At 43.4% G+C, this 26,356-nt stretch overlaps 1 protein-coding gene and 1 long non-coding RNA gene across 4 annotated transcripts in view, besides 2 other annotated features; one reads left to right on the forward strand and one right to left on the reverse strand.

Annotated features, from left to right (window-relative positions):
• Positions 1-1,724, reverse strand: part of DARS1 (aspartyl-tRNA synthetase 1) — a 79,804-nt gene extending 78,080 nt beyond the window's left edge. The window contains exon 1 of one of the 2 annotated variants that reach the window (NM_001293312.1): positions 1,443-1,724. Coding sequence is in view for 1 of the 2 variants with exons in the window: in NM_001349.4 (NP_001340.2) it covers positions 1,443-1,508 (66 nt within the window). In the remaining variant the exon portion in view is untranslated. The remainder of the gene's footprint in view (positions 1-1,442) is intronic. The other variant, NM_001349.4, reaches the window with a different exon arrangement.
• Positions 1,216-23,582, forward strand: DARS1-AS1 (DARS1 antisense RNA 1). 2 transcript variants are annotated; one of them, NR_110199.1, is made up of 4 exons: positions 1,216-1,556; positions 14,727-14,878; positions 16,479-16,519; positions 23,236-23,582. It is a non-coding gene; the product is annotated as a DARS1 antisense RNA 1 (long non-coding RNA). The 2 variants fall into 2 exon arrangements; NR_110200.1 differs by lacking the exon at positions 23,236-23,582 and adding an exon at positions 21,033-21,277.
• Positions 1,303-1,362: a silencer, noted in NCBI's record as "silent region_11984". NCBI's record gives its function as "represses an Ori minimal core promoter by ATAC-STARR-seq in GM12878 lymphoblastoid cells {active_cell/tissue: GM12878}" and the evidence as "EXISTENCE:reporter gene assay evidence [ECO:0000049][PMID:35858748]".
• Positions 1,413-1,512: an enhancer, noted in NCBI's record as "active region_16580". NCBI's record gives its function as "activates an Ori minimal core promoter by ATAC-STARR-seq in GM12878 lymphoblastoid cells {active_cell/tissue: GM12878}" and the evidence as "EXISTENCE:reporter gene assay evidence [ECO:0000049][PMID:35858748]".
• Positions 23,583-26,356: the final 2,774 nt, after the last annotated feature.

Raw genomic sequence — 26,356 nt, forward strand, 5'->3', positions numbered from 1 at the left:
TTTCCTTTTGTAAAACATCATCAAAAAATTCACCAGCTTCCTGTTTCTAAAAACCAGATTCAGGATACCAGGTTACAGGAGTTTGACACTGACAATATAATAATATCAAATTTCTTGTTACAGATTAGAGTTAGGAACAGGAAACAGAAGACCTAGGGTCCAATCTGTTAACAAAATATACTTATTAAATAGATAAGTGGCCTTTATTTCAATCTTACTTTACCTCTAAAATGATCTAAGATTCTTCTAGCTATAAAATGGCATAACTCTGCCACAATGTCTACCTTGTATCTAGACCTATACTATCTGTAAGGGTACACTGATAGTTTATGTAATTAAGCAGATTAAGAGTACACAAAAATAATTGCCCTAGTTTTTACAAGGTAACTTAAGATCTGTATGAAACAATTAAGTTTCTGTCACTTTACAGCTACCTGTTGGAATCCTCTCCTTTAGAGCAGGAGGGTGCTGGATTTTGTGTTTACACCAAAATAAAACCAGACATGTTTAAGGCGCTTACTGAACAATTTAAAGAAAAAGATAACCCTGGCCAGAGTAGAGAGATACAGTCACACAATGAAGCCTGAGGGCAACAGAAGGAGATTAAATTGTGTGAAGGACAAAAAAGTTGCATTCATAATTAGTACTATTAATATTTCAGTGACTCTTCCTCATTTAGTATTCTAAGATGACCTTACTTCTCATGTTGCTTACCACAAACTCAGAACTCCTTATAGAAAAATTAGGGAGCCAGACGGAAATTAAGGCTTAACAGTACTACAGCACACATAACTTGTAGGATGGTTTCAAACTTTGATTTCTGAAAAGCACCGAAGGATCACTGGGTGTTATGAATTATCCACGTGATTTGGGGTCACTTCACCTCAAATGCATTCTCGGTAACTCCTATTACCTACCTTACCGGGTCACTGAGAGGGAGAAAGTAAATAAAAATGACATGTGTTCTTTAAAGCTGTCACATGGGAAATGGTCATTAAACATATTGGCAGATGGTTTTGCTAAGTACTGTCATTACTTGCTAAAGCATTAGGAACACGAGGGCTGAGTACATATCGATTACTAGTGCTTATTAAAATTTTCCCAGGGATTGTGCATTACGTGCAGGACGTGCCTAACCCAGAGAGACTCAAGTGTGACGCCGCGCTCCTACTTCCGGGGCGGCTGGTTCTTCCCGTCCTCCCCACCCCGGGGACACGCTTCTAGTAGGCCAAACTCCCAGGTGACCCCCGCAAGAAACGCGGTCCGGAGAGGGTCTGGCCCCACTGCTGGGGCAAGGGCTCTAGGCGCCCGGACCCCACGCCCGCAGCCTGCGGAGAACGTGCCGACAAGGACCTGTAGGGCCCCACTCCCCCTCCTCCCTCCCTCGGCGCAGCCCGGCCCAGGGGTCTGTCCTCCCAGGCCCAGGAAAGGAGGAAACCCACTTCCGCCGCGTCCATGATCTCCCGCGGCTTCTCCTGACTCTTGCGGCTGGCGCTGGCGCTGGGCATCGGGACACGGAACTGGGCAGTGGACACCACCCTCCCTCGCAGGCTTCCGTAAGGCAGGCCAAAGGGGCTTCTCCCTCCCTCCCAGTCTCCGCCCTCCCGACCCTGGGGTCTCAGCACACGCGCTCGGACTCCGCGTGGAGGTGCGGCTCCAGAAAGATCGCGAGAGCTGCGGCTATCTCGAGATCCCGGAGCGCTGGCGGCCGCGCGCAGGGTCTCCTCCCACTCTTGCCCCGCCCCTCCGGGAGTTTTCCCGGAGTTGGAGGGAATTCCCGGGAATTCGCGGTAGTTTCGCTGGATTGGCTCTGGGGGCGGGGGCAGGGGTTACCAGGTGGCTGGCTGTAGACCTGGGCGAATGCCAGCTCTCTTCAGCTTCGTCCCAACTGCGACTTCTGCTCCATTCTTCTAACAGCCCTTTCAACTCCGCTCGGCTGTAACCGCAGACTCGTCACTAAAACACCCACCTAAGCGCGGGCCTTGGTTTCTCCTCTCTTGGACTTTCCCGCCTTCTCTCTTCCCCTGGGCGACGTAGCTGCTTGGGGACGGAGGAGGCCTCTTCGCAATCCATTGCCCTGCTTGTTGGGACAGAGGAGTGCAGTTGGCTTGCCAAGGCAGCATGGGTTACCAGTCCCTGTGTAAGTGAGGTGTAAATACAGTGGCAACGACAACAAGAAACGCATACAATTGCATTGATTGCCTGGATCTGTTGCAGTGTTAGGGACAGTGCATAGTGTTGGTTGCCCAATGGGCGAATATCCCCAAGTTAGGCTTTTTTAAAAAACTGATTTTTTAAAAAAGCTATCATTCATGAGTTTTGAATCGAAATTGAAAATAATTTGGAGATTTGGTTTAATACTGTTTCCCCTGCCAGAGTTTGCACTCCGTCGTTTCAACTGACTTGGTAGTGTCTTAGTCTGGCACAAAGTGTTAAGGGGTGCACATAGATCCCAGCGCAAGTGAAAGGCTCTCTCTGGAGGCTCCCCCATGGAGTAGTGAGAAGACAGCCATGGTCCTTGCTTGCCTGTAGCTTTCCTTCTAATTGCAGGTGGTATGAAATTTTATTCCCTATTTAATTGATCAAAGATTATTTACAAACATCTACTTTGTGCCAGGCATTCTATCAGGTGCTGGCAATAAAAAGATAAGTCCTAGTTCCTGTTCTTAATATTACACAGGTACCTAGGCTGATAGATGCGCCATCTTGATACATGCTTCCATTATTACAGAGTCAGGAAGAGAATTTAGCTCTTAAAATGGCTGCCTGGAAGTGACACATTTCACATTCTCCTAGTTTATTGGCGAGAACAAGTCACATCGTCATTCCTGAGTTCATGGGGGCAGGAGAATTTACTCATTCCTTGGGGAGCAACACTGAATATTCATGATCAGTATCACATTCCGTTAAAAAAGGCATCCCATTATACTCATGGGATTCGAATACAGAAGGGGGTCTGTGAAGTTGCTTCATCTTGGAATTTTTTTTAAAACTTGGATTGCCTCAATCAGGTATAGTCCTAATGTATGGACTGGTTATCAGAAATCTGAATACAAATCCCATCTATTATCCCTTTGCTAGGGTAGCGATCTTACCTTTCCATCTGTCCATGAGGCCTGTCCATGTACTTCTTTCTTACTTTGGCCCCGTTGCCTTGATAAAAGTATTCTTATTTAGTCCTGGAATAAGACTGTAAATATATATTCTTGTTTCTGGCCTCCTTTCCTGATAGTGATAGAAAAGAAGCATTTGCCAGATCAGTGGCCACATGTCATATGCCTGAGGTCTTAAGAATCTGCTGTAGTAAAGATACCACAGCTGCAACTGAGGCTGTGACTTGGTTGAACTTGCAGTAGTCTACTGTCAAGTTCCTGAATTTGTCTGGTTTTTGCTGGAGCCACACCGGTGACAATAGGAATGTGATGGAGACTACCAACCATTACGTCTTTAAGGGTTGCACTGATCTCCACTATTCCCCTTGGGGACATGTTATTGTTTATGATTTCCTATCCTAGTTGGGGGCTGGGAAAGTGACTTTTAGAGATTTCCTCTTAGCTTTATCCGGTATGGTAGCCTATTCCACAGACCAAAGAATAGGGGAACAGCTCTGCTATGGTGCTCTGGCTGCTTTGCAGGATCCACATAAGCCATGTAGGCAAGGGCGGGAACTGCAGCTAACCTGAATCTTGGAAAAACATCTTGTGATCCTGCTGGAACATGAGAGGGTGGAAGGCCATCTCCCACTCACTTCCCTGTCTCCCTGAGAGGCTGTTATGGGATGGTTTCTTACTACCTCCTAGATTCTGATGAGGTGTGGGACTTCTTGCCCCCTTCCCTCAAGGGAAATGCAGAATACAAAAATGTATATAATATCTTACTGCTTAACTGGAGTCTAGAAGTGGCTGTTAAGCAACAGAGTGTCCCACTACTCATGTTGCAGTCATTTGGTGCCTTTTGTTTCAGTGATGTCCTTAATGGGACAAGAATCACAGGGAGCTGGCAACTTTGGCTTATTCTTCTTTCTCTCTCTCTTTTTTTTAATTTAATTTTTTTTTTTTTTGAGACAGAGTGTCCCTTTGTCTCCCAGGCTGGTGTGAAGTGTCATGATCTTGGCTCACTGCAACCTCCACCTCCCAAGTTCAAGTGATTCTCCTGCCTCAGCCTCCCGAGTAGCTGGGATTACAGGTGCCCGCCACCATGCCTGGCTAATTTTTGTATTTTTAGTAGGCATGGTTTCACCATGTTGGCCAGGCTGGTCTCAAACTCCTGACCTCAGGTGATCCGCCTGCCTTAGCCTCTCAAAGTGCTGGGATTACAGTAGTGAACCACCGCACCTGGCCTTTTTTTTTTTTTTTTTTTGAGGCAGGGTCCCACTCCGTTGCCCAGGTTGGAATGCAGTGGTGCGATCAAGGCTCATTGCAGCCCCGACCTCCCGGGCTCAAGGGGTCCTCCCACCTCAGCCTTTGGAGTAGCTGAGACTACGGGTGTGCACCACCATGCTCAGCTAATTTTTGTATTTTTTGTAGAGATGGGGATTCACCATGTTGTCCAGGCTGGGGGCTTATTCTTGTTTTCACTGTCTATGTAAGTAATAAACCATCTAAATCTAAAAGCAGCATGTTACAGCTTTACTGATGGAATCATTCAGGCCTTGACATTTCCTTACTTGTCCTGTGTGTTCCTGTCTTGACAGGAATCAGCGTCGGACTCTGCCAATTTCCAATACAATATCCATCCCAAACTATACATTTAGGGAGCTGGAAAATGACTTTTGGGTAGGTCCATGGACCTAGTTGTTGCTGTTAAGAGGGTTGAAGTGCCATTGTGGTTCTTTTATTTCTTTATTTTTTTCAAGACTGGGTTATGAGACTAGCTAATTTTTTTGTTTTTTAGTAGACATGGGGTTTCCCATGTTGCCCAGGCTGATCTCGAACTCTGGGTCTCAAGTGATCCATCCGCCTAGGCTTCCCAAAATGCTGGGATTACAGGTGTGAGCCATTGCGCCCAGCCACCACTTTGATTCTTGGTCCTTTGTATGTGGTTCTTTTCCCCCTGGAAAAGAAAGAAGCTCACAGGACATCTGCTAAGTAGACTACATGGGTCCTTCTTTGTTCCTAATGCTCAGGAATTTCATAATATTTATCAGCCTGGGGGTTTAAATTTATCATTGTGCTGGACATTGGGCCATTCCATCTGGAAGCTCGTTAGTTCTGGGGCATTTTCTTGAAAAAAGTCTTTGATGATTCTCTACCTTCCATTTCTTCTCTTCTCTGTTTCCTGAATTCTTATTAAGTATTGGACTTCCTGAGCTGGTCTAATTTCCTTATAATTTCTCTCCATTTTTCCATCTTACTGCATTTTGATATGCTTTTGGGAGATTTTTTCAACTTTATCATATAGTCTTTCAATTGCGTTTTTCCCATTATTGCCATCATTTAATAATTTCCTAAAGCACTCTTTTTGTTATTTGAATGGTCCTTTAAAAGAATAGAATCCTGATCTTTTAAAATGTATATAATATCTTCTCATCTTACTGAGCATATTAATAAAGTGATTTTTTGGGGAATTTTTAAAAGCGTTCTCTCTACATAACCCCTTTCTTACAAGTTGCTTTTCTATTTGTTTATTTTTGGCCTCTGTCTTCCATGTTAGAGACCTACCTCAGGTGTTCAGTGAATCCTTGATTGTCTGCTTATGTTAAAAGTGGGGACTAGGCCCGGTGCGGTGGCTCACGCCTGTAATCCCAGCACTTTGGGAGGCCGAGACGGGCAGATTATGAGGTCAAGAGATCGAGACCATCCTGACTAACACTGTGAAACCCCGTCTCTACTAAAAATACAAAAAATTAGCCAGGCGTGGTGGCAGGCGCCTGTAGTCCCAGCTACTTGGGAGGCTGAGACAGGAGAATGGCGTGAACCCGGGAGGTGGAGCTTGCAGTGAGCCGAGATTGCGCCACTGCACTCCAACCTGGGTGACAGAGCGAGACTCTGTCTCAAAAAAAAAAAAAAAAAAAGGGGAGACTAAAAAGCTGATTAGAAGCTCTCTGAGCACTTCCATGGGGTTTGTCCATTGTGGATTTTACTGCATGATGGTCTGGGTGGGCCATTTGATGGGTGTCAGTATTTTTAGATCTTTCCCTTTGGCTAGTCAGATTGTTCAGGGAGAAAGCTCTTCTGATCTGCTGCATGAAGAATAAAGGTCTCACTGCTAGTGTTCTGGGAATATCTGGCATCCCACATGTATTTGGTCACCGAATTCCCCTAGTTGGGTACAGTACCCAGTTCCTGAAGTCAAAGACCCACCTTTTACCTTCTCTACAGAATCCATCATGTCAGGGTAGGAGAGGACTCTTGCCAAAAGAGTAGAGTATGGAGGGCTGCAGGAATCAGACTTCTCTTGTAACTTTCCCCAAATTGTCATTATCATTCCCACTCCCCATCTCCGTTTCCAGAGGTATTTGGTGCTGCTTGTCTTGAGTCTTTTGTGATTTCTGTGGTATGAGTGAGGTCACTTCTCAGCTTTCTTGACTGCTCCCTTAGGATTCAGCTTTTCATATCTGCTAAGTAGGTTACCACTGGCCCACCTGCTGCTTTTTGGCTTCCTGCATTTTTGGGGGGATTGTCTCCTCTCCTGTTCTCCCATCCTCTCGATTATAGTTTTTGTGGCATTAAGGGCAGGAGCAAGATTAGATCTGCCATCTTAGTGCAGAAGTCACTTTTCATGTTTTATAACCTCAGTGTATACAAAGTTTCTGGTTGATGACTGTAGTTACCAAAATTTATACCAATGCTTATACTTTTTTTTTTCTTTTTCTTTTTTTTGAGACAGAGTCTCACTGTGTCTCAGCTGGAGTGGAGTGCAGTGGCACGATCTTGGCTCACTGCAGCCTCCGTCTCCTGGGTTCAAGAGATTCTCCTGCCTCAGCCTCCCAAGTAGCTGGGATTATAGATGAGCACCAGTATGCCCAGCTAAGTTTTGTATTTTTAGTAGAGATGGGATCTCACCATGTTGGCCAGGCTGGTCTTGAACTCCTGACCTCAAATGATCCGCCTGCCTCAGCTGCCCAGAGTGCTGGGATTACAGGTGTGAACCACCACACCTGGTCCCAGTGCTCATACATTCTTTCGGCAAGTATTTATTGAGAGTCGACTATGTGTCAGGCATTAGTCTAGACATTTGGGATACATCAGAGAATAAAGTAGATAAAGGTCCCTGTTCCTGTGGATCTTATGTTTTAGAGGATGGAGGCAGATAATAAATAACAAAATAAGTAACATAATAAGTAAATTATGTAACGTGAGAAAATGAAAAAAAAATTGAGCAAGTTAAGAGAAACAGGAGTTCTGGGGAGGTGTGGTTGCAGTTTTAAATATGGTGGTCAGGGTAGGCTTCAGTGAGAAAGTGACATTCGAAGATTTGAAGGCACTGAGAGATGTGCCTGTGTACATATTTGGGGAAAGAGCATTCCAGGGAAGAGGACAACCAGTGTAAGGGCTTTAAGATGGGAGGAGCAAGGAGGCCAATGTTCTATACCTAGGGTAACATCTTTAAGCCCTCTGAAGTGTGTAGGATTCTTTATCCTGAATGACTCTAGTTTGCCAATCTTTTTAAAAAATTGTGACAAAACACATAAAAATTATCTTTCTAACCTTTTAAAAGTATACAGTTCAGTAATGTTAACTATATTCACATTGTGTAATAAATCTCTAGAAATTGTTCATCTTGCAAAACTGAAATCCTGCACCCATGGAGTAACAGTTTGGCATTTCCCCTCCCCCAAGTCCTGGGCAACCAATATTTCACTTTCTAATATCATGATTTTTGACTATTTTAGATATCTCAGATAAGTGGAATCATATAGTATTTGTCCTGTTGTATATTGCCAAGCTTTTTGAGTTCTTGTATTGCAAATTCATTCTGGCTCCAGCCTTGCTGTCATGTTGAATTTAGCTATTACTTCTCTCACGCCTGGATGTAATTCAAATCTTAACACCCCTGTTTACCAGCTGAATCAGGTGGGATGCCTTTGGCTGCAAATAAGAGAAACCCTGACTCAGACTGTTTCAAACAGTAATGTATTGCTCATCCAGTAGGAAGTTGGGGAAAGAGGAGAGTCCAGGTTTGGTTGATCCATGCATTCAGCAATGTCATCAAGGACCGAGCAGTTCTTTCCTTCTCGCTGCTCTGGAGACTTCACCCTGAGGTTGGTAGCAAGACAACTGCAGCAAGTTCAGGCATCACATTCAGTTGTGACAACATCAGGGAAGGAGACAGACCTCGTACTTTCCCATGCCTCTCCCTCAAATGTAGAAACCGTTCCTTAAAATTTCTGCAGCCAGCTTTCCTTCACACCTGATTGGCCAGAATTGGATCAACATGCTTGTGTTCAAACCAGTTACTGGTAAGGGAAATGGGATCAATAGGCAATCAGGCCTACCTCAGAATTTTGGGGGTGGGTTGGGAGTGTTGCCTCCACTGGAGCACATGTATACCTGGGAGAGGGGTGGACATCTAAATAAAACCAGATTCTGTTAGGATGGAGGAAGGATAAGAATGGATGCTGAGTAGATAGCCAGCTGTGTCCATTACATTAGCTGTGTGATCTGAAGAGAGTCATTTGACGTCTTGGATCCTCAGTTTTGTCAAGAAAATAAGAGTCATGGTGTTTTCTCATGTAAGGATTAAAGTTCATGTCCTTTGTAGGGACATGGATGAAGCTGGAAACCATCATTCTCAGCAAACTATCGCAAGGACAAAAAACCAAACACCGCATGTTCTCACTCATAGGTGGGAATTGAACAATGAGAACACATGGACACAGGAAGGGGAACATCACACACCAGGGCCTGTTGTGGGGTGGGGGGAGGGGGGAGGGATAACATTAGGAGATATACCTAATGTTAAATGACGAGTTAATGGGTGCAGCACACCAACATGGCACATGTATACATATGTAACAAATCTGCATGTTGTGCACATGTACCCTAGAACTTAAAGTATAATAAAAATAAATAAATAAAAATAAAAGCAAAAAAAAAAATAATTGAAAGAGAAAACAGTCCATGACACCTACTTTTGCTGATTTCAGTGGTTTTCAAATTGTGGTCCCTGGACCAGCATGTCAACATCAGCATCACCTGGTGTTATGGGCTGAAGGTGTAGTCCCACCTCTACCTCCCCAGTTCATATGTTGGAGTCCCCCAATATCTCAGAAGGTGACTGTGTTTGGAGATAGGGTCTTAAAAGAGGTAATTAAATTAGAATGAGGTAATTGGGGTAAGCCCTAATCCAGTATGACTGGTGTCTGTAGAAGAGGGAAATAGGACGCAGACACACACAGACAAGAGGGAAGGCTATGTGAAGACACAGGGAGAAGAGGGCCATTTACAAGCCAAGAAGAGAGGCCTCGGAAAAAAAATCAACCCTGCCAACATCTTGATCTCAGACTTTTAGCCTCCGGAACTGTGAGAAAATAAATTTTGTTATTTAAAACCACCCAGTATACAGTACTTTGTTATGGCAGTCCAAGCAAATGAATATACCTGGGAACTTGTTAGAAATGTAAAGTCTCTGGCCCCATCCCAGACATACTGAATCAGAAACTCTCAGGGTGAAGCCCAGCAAACTGTTTTAAAAGCCCAACAGGTGATTATTATGGGCAGGGCTGGCCTAGTTGTTAAGGTTATAGGAACCTGTCTAGCCTGGCTCTACCACTTACTAGCTATCACATCCTGACTCTACCACTTACTAGCTATGTGATTGGTGGGTAGTTTTAAAAACTTTTCTGTGTTTCAGCTTCCTCATCTGTAAAATGGGGATAATTCTAGTCCCTACCTCTTAGGTTGCTATGGTAATAAATAGGTCCATCTAGATAGAATTTAGAACAGTACCTGATGCGTAGTTAATGCTCAACAAGGGTGAGCTACTGTCGAGATACATAACATGTAAATGTTGAATCTGCATCTCACTTGAAATGGTTGGGTTTGGAGAAACGGATAGTCAAGCTTATTGGAATTATTGTTAAAGTGAGGACCTGAGAACTCCCTTAACTCCCTTGAGTGAAGTTGAATACTCCACCTGTTTTGGCGGCTTGACACTCTTTTTTCTTACTTCCTGGTTTATGATTGTGATGTGGGAAATATAAATTGTGCCAAGTTCTTTGGAGTTTATGCAAATAATACATGGCACACATTGTTATGTTGCTCTTCATTCCCTGTGAAGGCCTTTTGTCATCAACTTTATATCCTGTTCCCATGAGAACTTTACCTTTTTCTCCTCTTTGCATTCTGTTCTTGATGGATTGTCTAGTTTATCACTTGGACAACTTATCCTCTTTCTCTGACAGCCTATTTAAAACCACCTACTATTAAAAACAGTTTTCCATCAAGGCATCTAGATAGTCATTTCCCTTGTTTTTCATCTGCCTTTTATCTGAGGCGATGCCAATGGTTTTACAGTACGCAGCTGCCACTAGATACTAATGACATTTTCACTGGGCAAGTTGCATTTCCCAGCCTTGTTTCTGTATATTTGATTGTCTTTAGTATTTTATGTGAGTTGTAAACACACTGGGTAGAAACAACTCAATAAATGACAAACAGTAAAATGAATACTAAAAAGTTATAGTCTCATAAAATGAGAACGAGTGGGGCCCCTCTCCCAAATAGAAGTAAGCCAGGGACATCAGGATGTTATGAAAATGCTAAATGGCTGCTACTTTCCCTTAATATAGTCTTTCAGTCCCAAACTTGTTGTTTTTTGTAATTCTGCCCTGCAATATGCAATTCTCTTTCCTTCTACTCACCTTCTCAATCACTCTAGCAAACATAACCATTCATTTATCACCGAGGCCCAAAATCTTGGTGCCATTTCTTGTTGCTTTCTCTTCTCCCCACCATTCAAAAATCTATCAAAGTCTTTCTGCCTTTTCCTTTTTTAACATTATCCATCTCTAATGAATCTTAAAGACCATACTTTTTGTAATTGTGAACTGGAACATTCAAGGTAAATCATAATTCATTTGGTGAGATTATCTCCAGTCTTATTTTGTAAATCCATGTATGACTGCAGCCATATCCAGAAATTTTATAAAGGGTGTTAACCCCCAACCCCAATAAATTATAATGTAAAATACAAATATAAAGTATATCACACTTTAAAAAGAATTCTACATGTGCGAGGAGGTAGGGAAAAATCAAAATCTCAGCAATAGCAATTTCAGGACTCTCCTGGGGCTCTTGTCTGACTCTTCCTATTCATCACTCAGCCTCCTTTTTATGGTTTTCTGCTTTGCTCACTTTAACACAGTGCCCTTCAGTGTTCACTACAAGCTCACCATTGTCACTATCAGGGAGTATGTGGTTTTATCATCTACCTTTTAAGGAAAAGTTTTTACTTTTAGAAAGGCACCTTACTGATAATTATTTTCTCCAACCTAATGTCTTTTTTTCTATTTTCATTTATGGTTCTGGTTTTATGTATGTATGTATGTATGCATGTATGTATGTATGTTGAGAAGGAGTTTCACTCTGTCTTGCCCAGGCTGGAGTGCAGTGGCATGATCTAGGCTCACTGCAGCCTCTGCCTCCTGGGTTCAAGTGATTCTCCTGTTTTAGCCTCCTGAGTAGCTGGGACTACAGGTGTGTGCCCCTACTCCCGGCTAATTTTGTGTTTTTGGTAGAGATGGGGTGTCACCATGTTGGCCAGGCTGGTCTCAAACTCCTGACATCAAGTGATCCACCCGCCTTGGCCTCCCAAAGTGCTGGGATTACAGGCGTGAGCCACCACGCTCGACCTCTCCATGTGATTTTTGACCTAAAGGAACTATTTTTAATATTCTGAAGAATAATCCTATTTAAGTCACATATAAACAAGTTGTGCTAAATTAAAAACATTTAGTTCCATTTACTTCTTCATTTTAGTAGGTAACTTTGTGATGCAAACTCGGATTGGTCTTCCTATTTGAGTCACTCAATCCAAACCTTGGTAGGAAAATCTGGTTCCTCTCTCTTCCCGTAGCTGTGGTGGATCGTGTTTCCAAAGATGTCTGCCACAATATCGCTCATCCCATATGTTCTTTTGCAATGTGACTGTGTCACTCCCTCATCAAGAAGTAGAGTCTAGATTCACTCCCTTTGAATCTAGACTGGCCTATGACCTATTTTGACCAATATAATATAATCTCCAAGGCTGGGCCTTAAGAAGTCTTCAGCTTCTGTCTTCATGTCTTAGAGTGTTCTTTCTTGGAACCATCTGCCAAGCTGTGAGGAAGCTCCAGAGCCATATGACAAGACCTGATGGAGGATAACTGAGGACTTTGGCCAACAACCCCAGCTGAGCTCCAGTTGGAATGTGAATGAGGCCATTTTGAGTGTTCCAGCCTATTGGAGCCCTAGCCAACACTCTACAAACTAGAACTGCCTGATTGACCCGCAGAATCATAAGAAATGTAAACTGCTGTTTTAAGCCAGTACATTGGGAGGTGGTTTGTTATGCAGCAATACCTGACTGAAACACTGGGGCTCCTTTGCTCAGCTTGGTTTTGAGGCCTTGCACCACGTTCACCTGCTCACCTCATCACCCTCAAACCTCTGCAGGGAAATACAACTTACTTTCTGGGTTTTCACAGTCATTTTAGCTCATGGACAAAGTGGTTCACTCATCAGTGACTATGAAAGTGGCCAAATGATGATCACAATACTAATTAAGACTTTTTGAATGCTTATGATGTGCCAGGCACTGTTTTAAGTGTAATATATTTATTCATACATTTAATTTTTAGAACAACTTTTTGGCTGAGAAAGACAGGATTCACTTCCAGTGCTTTCCAAAGCAGCATTCTCTTTGTCTTAAGTCAGGGAAGGCCTTCAAATTACTTTCATTAGAAGAAGATTTAAAGGAATGTTTCTGTTTAGGGTTTTTCAGTCTAAACAATTTTTAGAACAATTTTTTGAGCTAGGCACTATTATTATTTCCATTTTATGATAAAACAACTAAGGCACAGAGAGGCAAAATAACTTGTAAAACAGTAAGTGGGTCAAATCACCATCAGAACCCAAGCATCGGCCCCCAGAGCCACATGCTTAGCTACTGTGATGTCCTGCCTCCCATAAATAATATCTCAAGCTTATTTTTATTTTTTTAAAAAACGTTTTTGAGTCAGGATCTTGCTTTGTCACACAAGCTGGAGTGCAGTGGTATGATCATGGATCTCTGTAAACTTGAACTCCTGGGCTCAAAAGATCCTCCTCCCTTGGCCTCCCAAAGTGCTGGGATTATACAGGTGAGCCACCATGCCTGGCCCTACTTGAGTTAAGAAAATCCTCTAAGGCTTTGATTGCCTCGTTCATTTATTCTAGGTTCCAGGCTGTGTCCCATGCTGGCAGTTACATTTAGAAAACTCTAATGTTAGAGAAGTCTGAATTAACTATTCCTACATTCACAGTTCAGGGTAGGATAGAGTGTTTGCTTGGTTTTCCCAGGTTTCTCATCCCTGTGTGGCCACCGCAGAGGGCAGCAGAGTGACAGGCTGAGGGTGCAGAGGGGGCAGAGAAGCAGAACTGATGGAGGGCCCAGGCAGGGCAGGGGTGGGCGGAGCTATTTGCACATCTCAGGAGTGAGAGCTAGGCGGGAGCTCAGCCCTAACTCTCACCAACCACCCACTGATGGAGAGGGCAGCTTCTTCCAATAGCAAGGGCTGTGGCTGCCAAAACTGTGCCATTTGACTTGAAGCGGAGGAAAGTCTCCTTGCTTGCTATGCAATTGCAATTGCAGCCTTAAGGCAAGCTCCCCACGGCCTTCAGATCCCTCCCAGGCAGACATCCTGGAGCTGTCACTGCAAAGCTTGTGATTTTGCTTCAAGCAGCCCTTGAAGTTCTCCTGCTTCCTATTTGCCTGATAACTGCCCCAAGGACTCTGAAGGAACATTTTAAAAGCTAATTATAAAATTTAGTAGGCCTGCATTCTTACATTGTATTAAGAGTGAGGCCTTTGGAGACAGCCCTGGGTCAGAGTTCCATCTCTGCTGCTTAATTGCTGTGTGGCTTTGGGAAAGCTGTTTTCTTCTCAGATTCTCAATGTTCTTGGCTGTAGAATGGGTTAGTGATATTTACCCTGTGTGCTTGTTGTGAGCAATAAGTAATCCTATAGTCAAAGCCCTTGGCCTCATATATACCAGGCAACCATCAGGGTAGCTATTAATTACAAACATAGAATATATTGTGGATCTATGAGACCATTAACATACCATGCAGTCTTAGCATGTAAGCAGCAAAGGGTAAAGCTGGTGTTTCATGCTCTGCTGTACAATGTTTGCAGAGGAAAAAAGACAATCACCCTGATCTATTTTAGAAAAATGCTATATTTTAATCGCTTCTCTTTTTACTTTCTTATTTTAGTTTTGTCCTTTAAATGCTTTGGAGCATTTAATAGCTCTTCTGCTTTCAACTTCTATAAATTCACAACTTCTATAAATTTAAAAAGTGTCTAAATCTTGATTAAATGCTCTTAATCTGAGGCTTATGGGTTTCCAGGGGTCTGTGAACTTTTTGAAATTGCATGCAACATTGTTTGTGTCTACACATATGTGCATTTTTGAGGGGAAATGATTCATAATTGTCAACAGACTCTCAAAGGATTCTGTAGTTGGACAAAAGATATAGAAGAGTCCTTGGACAAAAGACTGAAAAACCCTAAACAGAAACATTCTTTTAAATCTTCTTCTACAGAAAGTAATTTGAAGGCCTTCCCTGACTTAAAGTGGATGCTGCTTTGGAAAGCACTGGAAAAATGGATCCTGTCTTTCTTAGCCAAGGACTGGTCTCTTTTCTCCAATGTGTCCCTAACAGAGTGGTGAGGCTGGCTCTTCCCACCAGTACAGGTAATGTGGTAAAGATAGGACCACGTGGACGAAGAGGTATTACCTTCTCTAATTACAGCTAACAAAGACCTAGGCCTAACCTCAACTGCACCTTCTGTCTCTGGGAAGTCACTTATAGAGTAGACCTATAATTAGGATTTGGTACCGGAAACATAATTCTCAGGATGGTGAATCTCTAAATTATGTCCCCAGAGACATACCTGAGACAAAACCCTAAGGGCTGTTGGCCGTAAGAGGGTGTGTGTGGTATTCTACATTCAGTAGGGATTTATAAATGAGGATGATATCACTCAGAAGGGGCAGGTGTCCAAGAGGCCCTTTTGACTTCTGCAATGGGGCCTGACAGCCCCGTGAACTGAGCTCCATAATTTATGCCTCCGGCATAGAATCTGTGCAAAGCAGGAATGGCCGTATCAGCATTTGGGGATTTAAAGCAGCTTTTTTTTTTTTTTTTTTGAGATGAAGTTTTGCTCTTGTTGCCCAGGCTGGAGTGCAATGACACAATCTCAGCTCACTACTACCTCCACCTCCCGGGTTCAAGCGATTCTCCTGCCTCAGCCTCCTGAGTAGCTGGGATTACAGGCATGCGCCACCACGCCCAGCTAATTTTGTATTTTTAGTGGAGGCTGGTTTCTCCATGTTGGTCAGGCTGGTCTCAAACTCCCAACTTCAGGTGATCCACCCTCTTCGGCCTCCCAAAGTGCTGGGATTACAGGCGTGAGCCACCATGCCTGGCTAAAGCAGCTTTTTTTATCCACAGACCTCTTTCCCAAATTGTAAGGAGGATTCAGCTCATTGATTTCACTTTATTTTAAAAGAAAATAATTATTGATGTGTAAAGTAAATGAAAACACAGTCAAGTGGGAGTGTAATTGAAAGTAATTTAAGAGTTCAATGGTTGATGACTTTTTTCAATTATGATATCTCTTTATTAATAGGAAATTCATAAATTAAGGAGTATGCAATATAATCATTGTGGAATATATTAGGGAAACATTTTTGATCCATGCAAGTAAATTGAGATAGACTGGGTGCACCTGTTCCTAGTCATGCCCAGGGAATATGTGAAACTCTGGCTCAGGATGAACGTCTGTTGGTGTCAGCACAACAATAATGAAACAAAGTTGGCAGTAGGGTGGGGAAGTGTTTGGTGGGTGGGAGCCACCATCTGCAGCCAGCTCCCAGCACGGCTGTGTGTTCGGATACCCATCAACCAGGAAAGGGAGTCTAAGGCCTCCAGATGATTTTCCCCTTTCACAAAACTGTTGTAAAATGAAATACAAATCCTTCCTGAATGTTCCTAGCTTTTCTTCCTTTCGGAAGTTTTCAGTCAATGGGAAACAAAGCCTTATTCAAAGGATTAAAGCCATAGTCATTCTATTGTTTGGGGCTTCAATAATGTGGCTTTCCTTCCACAGACAGAATTTTCAATTCACAAATCATCTGAAAAACAGGAAATTTTGGAGAAACATGCTTATGATAACAAACAAGGGATCTATCGTGTGGTATAGAAGTTTACACAAAGAGGCATCTGATTTTAAGTTTTTGTTTTTTTTTTTTTTTTTTTTTTTACCGTTCTGGGCTTCTGGCTGCATTCTAGGAAGATCATTCCTTAAAAGAAATAGCCATATGGCTTATAAGGTAAGACTACTCAGTTCCCATCCCAACCCCCAGAAGAGAATGGAGGAAGGGAAGCAGACTCTGGCTATATTTTTATGGCTGCACTCCAGGCAGTACTGCAGAGGCAACAGGCAGGCTCTGAAATGCCTTCTTCCCCCTGCTATCCTCAGGCCTGTGTTTCTCTCTTACTCCACCCAAGTCCTGGGCCCTTACATGGCAGAGGGAGGGAGAAGGGCCAGCAACATTGGTTAACAGGAATAGAGAATGTTCGAGGAAGGCAGTGGCAGGCAATAGCCATAGAGAGTCACAGAAGGTTAAAGAGGTTGTGGAAACAGTCATTTGTTTTTCAAGCAGTTCCGGTGGGGTTTGAGAAAGCAGCAGCACTCAACTGTGAGCAGACAAACTCACTTTGGAAACCTATGCAGCCACTTCTAAGTAAACTACCAAGAGAATTATTATTTTATTTAGGTTCCTCATTTCAGTGACAATCTTTTAATCCTTTGAACTGTATGCTGAAAAGGACATTATAGATCCTCCTGAAAGATAATTTTTAGTGTCCACGGTTCCCTCAATATGATGATTTTTTTCCTTGGTCCCTATCTTTCACCATTCCCTTTACCTTTTATCCATGCTTTTCCCTGATTGAAGGAAGACAGAGTCTATTTGCTTCCTAGCATCTTCTTCTATGGCTCTTGCTACTGAAAGTGTGATCTAGATTCCAGCAGCAGAACAGCAGCATTTTGCTTCTGAGAAGTGCAGAATCTCAGGCACCATCCTATGACTACTGAATCAGAATCAGCATTTTAACAAGATCCTTGGTGATTTGCATGCATGTTAGTTTGGGAAGGGCTGATCTGTACAGATCTGCCCTATAGGCCTGACTCATAACCCACACTCCCCAAAACCTGCAAGATCCTACATTTCTGGCCCTGTATACTTCTCTAGTCTCATCCCATGTCACTCTACCTCTCATTCACTAGTTCCAGCCCCACTAGTCTTTCTCGTTCTGGCCTCCAAGCCTTTGTACTTGCTGTTCTCTCTGCCTGGAGTGCTCTTGTCCCATCTAGTATGGCTGACTCTTTTATTTCAGCTTAACTGTTACTTCTGGCTGTGAGCGGTGGCTCACACTTGCAATCCCAGCACTTTGGGAGGCCGAGGTGGGCAGATCACTTGAGCCCAGGAGTTTGAGACCAGCCTGGGCAACATGGCAAAACCCCATCTCTACAGAAAATACAAAAATTAGTCAGGTGTGGTGGCACACACCTGTGGTCCCAGCTGCTCAGGAGGCTTGAGCCTGGAAGGCTGAGGTTGCAGTGAGCCAAAATTACACCACTGTACTCCAGCCTGGGCAACAGAGCAAGACCCTGTCTCAAAAAAAAAAAAAAATTTACTTCCTTTGAGGATGCTTTCCTGACCCCTCTATATGAAGAACTACCTCCAACCCAGCTACTCTCTATTCCATTACCCTGTTTTATATTTTTATGGCACTTACTGTTATCTGAAGTAATTTTATTCATTCATTTTTGGGTCTATTTTATTCAGGATTGTGTGTCCAGTGTTCAGAAGAGTGCCTGGCACATCAAAAGTGCTGAGTTAATGTTTATTGGGTAAATGAATACAGTTTTGGGAATCATGAACATTGAGAACCTAGGCCCAGACAATTCTAAGGTAAAATATGTCACCCTCTGAACCAACCCGACAGCTTTCAGCTGATTGACCTAAGACCAGTGCTTTTGGGTGCCCGGATGAGCATATCAAAGCCTGGTCCCCTGAGCAGTTGCATCAATATCTCCTAGGAACTTGATAGAAAGGCAAATTCTTGGGCCTTACCACAGACCTACTGAATCAGAAATCTTGGCAATAGGGTTCACCATTCTATGTTTTAAGGAGCCTGCCAGGTAATTCTGATGCACTGCCCCACACAATACCAACATCTTACCAGTGTGGAGAACCCACAGTGTTCAAAGCTCTCTTACATATATCGCTGTTGTTCTGGACTTCATAAAAGCCCTGAGAATAGGCATGGCAGGTGTCATTATTTCCCCTTTACAGATGAAGAAATTGAGCCCTAGGAAATTATTCCATTTGTGTTGGTAATACTTGCTTTATCAGAATCACTTGGAACGCTTGTTAAAATTGCAGATACCTGGGCTCTACCCTAGACCTACTGAATCAGAATCATTGGGGCTGGGGCTCTGGAATCTAGATGAAAAAAAAAAGAAGCTCCTAGGACATTCTAAAGCTAAAAGTTTGAGAACCAATTGCAACAGGAAACAGTGGAATAGATATCAGAGCTTATAGCCCCTCATTCCTAAGGCATGCTCTTAGAGAGTCTTGAGAAGAGTAAGTAATGATAAAGAATGATATTGATCTTTAGTATCTTTTAGTGAAAATAGTTAAAACAAACTGGCAGTAATTCTTTCACCTTTATTAGACCCTAACCCTACTTGCTACTGTTGTAAACCAGGGAGAATCAAACTCCATGACAATGGACTGTTTCTTTGTATATAATTTAGTTGTGTATAGAACCAACTAACTGGACATCAACTAAGGGGTGGCAGGTTTTCCTGATTAGTTTGTGATACAGGAATTTTTATTTATTATTAAAAAAAATTTTTTTTTGAGACAGAGCCTCACTCTGTTGCCCAGGCTGGAGTGCGATGGCACCATCTTGGCTCACTGCATCCTCACCCACTGGGGGCGATCTTCCCACCTCAGCCTCCTGAGTAGCTAGAACTACAGGAGTGCACCACCACACCCGGCTAATTTTTTTTTTTTTTTTTGAGATGGAGTCTCACTCTTGTCACCCAGGCTGCAGTGCAATGGTGCGATCTCGGCTCACTGCGACCTCTGCCTCCCGGGTTCAAGTGATTCTTCTGCCTCAGCCTCCCAAGTAGCTGGGATTACAGGTACGTGCCACCATGCCAGGCTAATTTTTGTATTTTTAGTAGAGATGGGATTTCACCATGTTGGCCAGGCTTGTCTCAAACTCCTGACCTCAGGTGATCCACCTGCCTCAGCCTCCCAAAGTGCTGGGATTATGGGTGCGAGCCACCATGCCCAGTCCTGGCTAATTTTTAAAAAACATTTTTTTGTAGAGACTGAGTCTTGCTACGTTGCCCAGGCTGGTCTCAAACTCCTGGGCTCAAGGGGTCCACTTGCCTTGGCCTCCCAAAGTGCTGGAATTACAGGCATGAGCCACTGTGCCCGGCCTAAAAACAGTAACTTTTAAAAATACTTCTCCAAATGGGCAAGTAACTCCCAAATCTCTTCTCCTGCCCCAGCTTCCCTGGCTCCAGGCCCATACATTGAACTGCATATGGAACAGTTCTCTTCTAGATGACCTGCGGGCATCTTCATCTTAGTATGTCCAAATTCATTACTTTCTTTCCCACCCCATCCATTCTTCTTCCTGGCTACACTCTATCAGCGAATGACTACATATATCACCCACTGTGTCATCTTAGCCAGGAATCCAGGCAGTTTCTGGATTCCTTCCATCCTGTCTCTGGATAGCTAACCAGTCATTTCATTGTACTCCTTAGATTGCTCTCAAATCACCACCCCTTCCTTCATCTCTACTCAACTCCAGTTCAAGCCCTCATCATCTCTTGCTTGGGTTGTCATGATGGCTTCCAAAATGGTCCCTTTGTCGGTGCTTCTAGTTGACCTCATTTCTCCTCTTCCTTCCTTTTGGCTCTATGCTTCAGTGCTGTCAAATTGCTTTCACTTTTTTAAAAAAGAGTTTTCCATTTTAATTTCTGAGACACATGACACATCTTTGTCAATGTTAGGTCTGGGAAAGTTTCTATTAACTTCACAAGACAGAAAGGACCCTTCTCTCCAGCAGTGAAAAATTCAAAAGAAGAGAGCTTCAGGGAGTTCAGTTGCTACCCAGCAGAAGCTTCAATTTCTAACAAAACTGTGAAGTTTCAAATAATGAAGGGGAACTTCACCCCAAGATGGTACTCACTTAGGAACATTATTTTCCTTCAGCTTTCCCTTGAAATATTCAACAGCTTTTTTTTTTTTCGAGACAGGGTCTTGCTCTGTTGCCCAGGCTGGAGGGCAGTGGCATGATCTTGGCTCACTGCAACCTCTGCCTCCCAGGTTCAAGCGATTCTCCTGCCTCAGCCTCCCTAGTAGCTGGGACTACAGGCATGCACCACCACGCATGGCTAATTTTTGTATTTTTAGTAGAGACAGAGTTTCACCATGTTAGCCAGGCTGGTCTCGAACTCCTGACCTCAGGTGATCTGCCTGTCTGGGCCTCTCAAAGTGCTGGGATTACAGGTGTGAGCCACCGCGCCTGGCCTCAACAACTTTCTTCTCCCCATTAGGATTACCTCCATTGTGGGCTCTTTTCGAGGGAGGAGGCACTGCATTCTCACTCCCAGTCTAAAGCTGCTTTCCCTTCTCGGTGATGTTTTCTGCTTCCATGCCTTTGTACATGCTGTGTCTGTTCTATTGATTTTCCTTTTCCCATCTCCTGTGTATGGCAAACTCCCACTTGTTTTTCATGATTCTGCTCAAGTGTTCTTTCCTGTATGAAGCCCAAGCTGTCCACTTGGAGAGACATCTGGCCAGCCCCCCGTTGTTCCAGCCATCCCCAGTTCAGGCATCAGACATGTGGTGAAGAAGCCATCCTAGATGCCCAGCCCCAGCTACCATCTGATGCAACCACACTGCTCACCCCGAGCAAGAACTGCCTGCAGGAGCCTAGTATTATCCTCTCTCACAGAACCATGGCAGGGAATAATAAATTGTTGTTTGAAGCCACTCTGTTTTGTGGTGGTTTGTTAGGCGGCAATAGGAAACTAGAACACCATAGCTTTTTTTTTTTTTTTTTTTTTTAGAAAATAACTTGATATTCATAAGCACAGCTTTTTAAGCTGCTTTTATTATTTTTCCCTTTATACGAGTGCATTCTGCAACATAAGGAGATTTCTATCTCAGCCCTGAACAAGATTTATGATCTTGATCAAGTCTCTTTATAATAATGTCACAGAACTTTACTTGCTTCAATTCTAATATGAAGGATTGAACTAGTTAATCACTAAGGTCCACTCTAGTTCCAAAATTGTGGCATTCTCTTCTAACTATCAGGGAAAAATTGACTTATTCTTTGTTAAGTTGTAGCTTGCAGTAAAGTTTTTTGGGCATGAGAATTTTCAGCAAGGTGGTGAGTGCCAGGAAAGTGCTGACTCAGCACAATGCTGTCTGTTAGCCAGGAACAAAAATGAGGAGCAACCATAAATTTAATCCTTTAGCTCCTTCTCCCTGCAAAATTCAGAAGATGTTTTATCTGTAACAAAAGACTTGAAAGAGGATTCTCACTTTTTCCCTTAAAAGTTGTTACTCAAGTCTGTAGGTAACTTCAGGATTTTTGACAGAAGATTCAGATTTGCATAGTTGACTCAGTCTCCGGAAGATCCCTACACTCAAATTCTAAGTTTAGGGCAAGTGAACTGAGTGATTCCTAGAGGAAATAAACTCTCGCCTGAGAACAACAGCTGAAATAAAATCCCATAAGCCAGGAAAACAGCCACACAATTACAGTAACAGGTGGTCAGTTTCAAAACAAATTTCAAGGTCTGACTCGCCTGGCACCTGCTCTAGAACCACAGACAGCAGTTTGACACTGTCTGGGTCCAAGTTAGGTCATCCCTGCCACACCATAAGGAAGATTAACTACCTTTATTAGCAGAGCTAAGTCATGGTAGGTTAGAGGACTGCTTCTCTGTGGTAGTAACCCCTGTGTTCCCTGTCTGAGAAGAGGGAATAAGAGAGAATTTGGGAACTGGACAGGACCTTGCAGATTAACCATTAGGTTGGTGCAGAAGTAATTGCAGTTTTTGTCCTTAAAAGTAATGGCAAAGTGAAGCCGAGGGGAGCTAAGCAGAGATTTGCTCAGAATCACATGACCTGTAGAAGCAGAACATCCCCACCCCCATTTTATTGTGAAAAAATTCAAACACACAGCAAAGTTGAAAGGATTTTTACAAGACACAGCTGTATATGCATTTCCTGGATTCTACTGTTAATATTTTATTAAACTTGTTTATTTTCTAACTATCCCTCTATCCATCCTTCTATCACCTTATTTCCTGGATGCCTTTCGAAGTGAATTGCAGACATCTGTACTCCTTCCCCTAAAGCAGCATAGTGTTTTATCATCATTTAATAATTTAATACCTCAATTTTGTATACATTATGGAACCAGGAAACATTATAAGAAATCACTGGACCCCAAAAATGTTAATTAGCCTTGGCTAGCCTGAAAGAGAACACAATTTCCTAAGGTCCTAACTTTAAGGCACTTGAGGATTCTTACTAAGGGCAAATTCCTGAGATGACAGAAATACTAGTCAACACACATCAATGCCTATGTTTTTCCCTCCTCCTGGAATCCTGTGCTTTCCCCTTCCTGCTCCACCTGTTGAAATCCTCTCTTCATTCGTCCAAGAATGATCTCAGATGTCTGCAAGGAACATAAACCACTGTTACACACGTATTGTTTTAAGGAAAAAAGTTACTGAAGAAGTCTGAACTGTCACCTCCTTCCCAATCCCTTTCCTAAACCCCGAGTTTTAACTTTTCTCATTTTAATGCCCATAAACTTTCATTGCTATTTTTCCTCCCTCATTCTACCTTGTTGCAGTTTAGTGTTTATTTGTTTGTTTATCACGACTACTGCTCCTCCTCCTAATAATACTTATGGTTAATTTCTTTTTAAGGGACTATATCTTAAGACTATGTGTCTTCTGCAGTTCTTTGCATAGAGTCAACGTTGAAGGACAAGCAACTTCAAATTTCCAAGCAACAAAATTATGTTCGGGTGGTTTTCTGAAAGCGAGATCTTAAGAACCACCTGTATCAGAATCCCATGAAGAGCTTGTTTAGTGTGCAAATTTACAGATTGTCCCCCCTCAGAAATGCTCATTTAGGAGTTCCTGTCCTTTGCGGGGACATGGATGAAGCTGGAAACCATCATTCTCAGCAAACTAACACAGGAACAGAAAACCAAACACTGCATGTTCTCACTCAAAAGTGGGAGTTGAACAATGAGAACACATGGACACAGGGAGGGGAACGTCACACACCAGGGCCTGTCGGGGGTGGGAGGTAAGGGGAGGGAGAGGATTAGGACAAATACCTAATGCATGTGGGGCTTAAAACCTAGATGATGGGTTGATAGGTGCAGCAAACCACCATGGACATGTATACCTATGTAACAAACTTGCATGTTCAGTACATGTATCCCAGAACTTAAAGTAAAATATAAAACAATAATAAAAAGGAAATGCTCATTCAGGAGTTTTGGGGTGGGGGTTCAGGAGGCTGCAGCCTTAACAATTACCTCTGGTGATTTTGACACAGGTAGCACAGCAGCCAAACTTGGAGAGATTTGTTCACAGCACTGCATCACCAACCTTACTTTCTGTTAGGCCTTTAATCACTTTTTTTTTTTTTTTTTTTTTTTTTTTCTGAGACAGGGTCTTGCTCTATCACCCAGGCTGGAGTACAGTGGCACGATCTTGGCTCACTGCAATCTCTGTATCCTGGGTTCAAGCAATCCTCTCTGCCTTGGCCTCCTGAGTAGCTGGGACCACAGACATGCTCCATTATGCCCAACTAATTAAAAACATTTTTTTTAGAGGCAGGCTGGTCTCGAACTCCTGAGCTCAAGCAATCTGCCTGCCTCGGCCTCCCAAAGTGCTGGGATTACAGGTGTGAGCCACTGCGCCCGGCCTTTTAATCACTTTTAAACCAGCAACCCTAATCTGCCTGTCCCTTGAATGGATCCGGATAAAGGTGTGGCAAACAAGCCTCCTGTCACAGTGGGGTGTGACAGTCACGGCATCACCCCTTCACCACATCATGTGCTGCCAGTCATCACTTCTGCTGTTGCCACCAACCCTTGCGTTTCCCTTTGTCACTTCCCCCTTGCCACCACCAACGGCCACTGTCCCTCTGCTCCTCACCCTCCATAGCTGAGTCAGATCCAGCATTGGGCACTTGAGGAAGAAGCCACTGTGGAAGGCGGGATGAGGGTGTTCCCATTCTACATTCACAAGCCCACAGCTTGGAGAAGAAGCACACCTAATTCTGACCCTGGCTTCTGAAGAAGCTCTGCAAACCTGGCTAGAAAGTTGGGCCTGTGGTTTGAGGTTCCTGCTGCCTTTGATTTTACAATGAGTGGAAATTGAGGTTGAGTAACAGGTCTCTTGCCCAAGTATTAAGGGCCACCACGAAGCATACAGCAATGAAGGCAGGAGCTGATGACATGTGGTTGGTTCCCCCCTCTAGGCCAAGTATCTTTGTATAGGGAAGGCCGACATGGCCATCTTCACGGTTTGGTATTAGTGGAGTGTCTTATACATACTGAAATTTGTTTTTGTTTTCAGGTGCTAAAAGGATAATACCAAGGAAAACTATGGGTGGGGGCAGTGAATGGCCAGCATGCCTATAATCCCAGCACTTGAAGCCAGGAGTTCGAGACCAGCCTGGGAAACAAAGCAAGACCCTGTGTCTAAAAAAATTTTTTTAAAAATAAGCTGGGCATGGTGGCACGTGCCTATAGTCCCAGCTACTCAGCTACTCGGGAGACCAAGGTGGGTGGATAGCTTGAGCCTAGGAATTTGGGGCTGCAGTGAGCTATGATTGCACCACTGCGCTCCAGCGTGAGTGACAGAGTGAGATCCTGTCTCTTTAAAAGAAAAAACTATGATTCAAAGTGTTGTTTTATGAAGCATAACCTGCTTTATGTTTTGAGTTTAATATAACTTGAAATCAGTTTCTCTAAGACAGTGCCAGCCTTGCCATTTTTCAGTTCAACATAGATTTCTCTATTACAGTGGTTCCCAAACTTTAGGAGGCATCAAAGTCATCTGGAGGGCACAAAAACACAAATTTATGGATGTCACCCACAGTTCCTAATTCTCTCTCTCTCTCTCTTTTTTTTTTGAGATGGAGTCTTGCTCTGTTGCCCAGGCTGGAGCACAGTGGTGTGATTTCGGCTCACTTCAACCTCCGCCTCCTGGGTTCAAGTGCTTCTCCTGCCTCAGCCTCCCGAGTAGCTGGGATTACAGGCTTGCGCCACCACACCAGGCTAATTTTTGTATTTTAGTAGATATGGGGTTTCATCATGTTGTTCAGGTTGGTCTTGAACCCCTGACCTCAAGTGATCCACCCACCTCGGCCTCCCAAAGCCCTGGGATTACAGGCGTGAGCCACCATGCCTGGCCTGTTTCTGATTCTCTAGGTCTGGAAAGGGGCCCAATAATTTTCACTTCTAACAAGTGGCAGGATGCTGCTGCTGCTGCTGGTCCAGGGACCACACTTTGAGAAGTATGGTACTGTGTGGTACTTACCGGACCATTTACCATACTTCCTGCCTGCCTAATTGTGTCACAATATAGCCGTGCTTCTCAGGCCTAGCAATTCATTAGAATTACCTGTGAAGCTTTTAAAATGTAAGGTTTGGATGGAATGCTCAGACCCTACCTTAGACCCAATTAAGCCCACAGCTTTGAGGGTGAGGCTTGGGTATTGTTCAGAAAGATCCCCAGGTGATTCTAATGGATACCGAGGGTTGAGAACCACAGGCATATAGCAAACTCTGGCCCTATTCTACCTTAACATATGATTCTCATTTGACAAATACATATTGACCACCTAATATATGTCTTGAAAATGATAAAGTATGTAAGAAATGGTCCCTGACCTCAAGCAGAGATACATCATATGCCCAAATATTTAAACAAAAAGCTGGTGTGTGGGGTTTGTGCCAATTAGAGGACTAAACCATTACTGAAAACAGAAGGCTGGATGATTCAGGGTAAATCAATGCTGCAC

This window comes from Homo sapiens, chromosome 2 (assembly GCF_000001405.40).
Source record: "Homo sapiens chromosome 2, GRCh38.p14 Primary Assembly".
NCBI classification, from domain to species: Eukaryota; Metazoa; Chordata; class Mammalia; order Primates; family Hominidae; genus Homo; species Homo sapiens.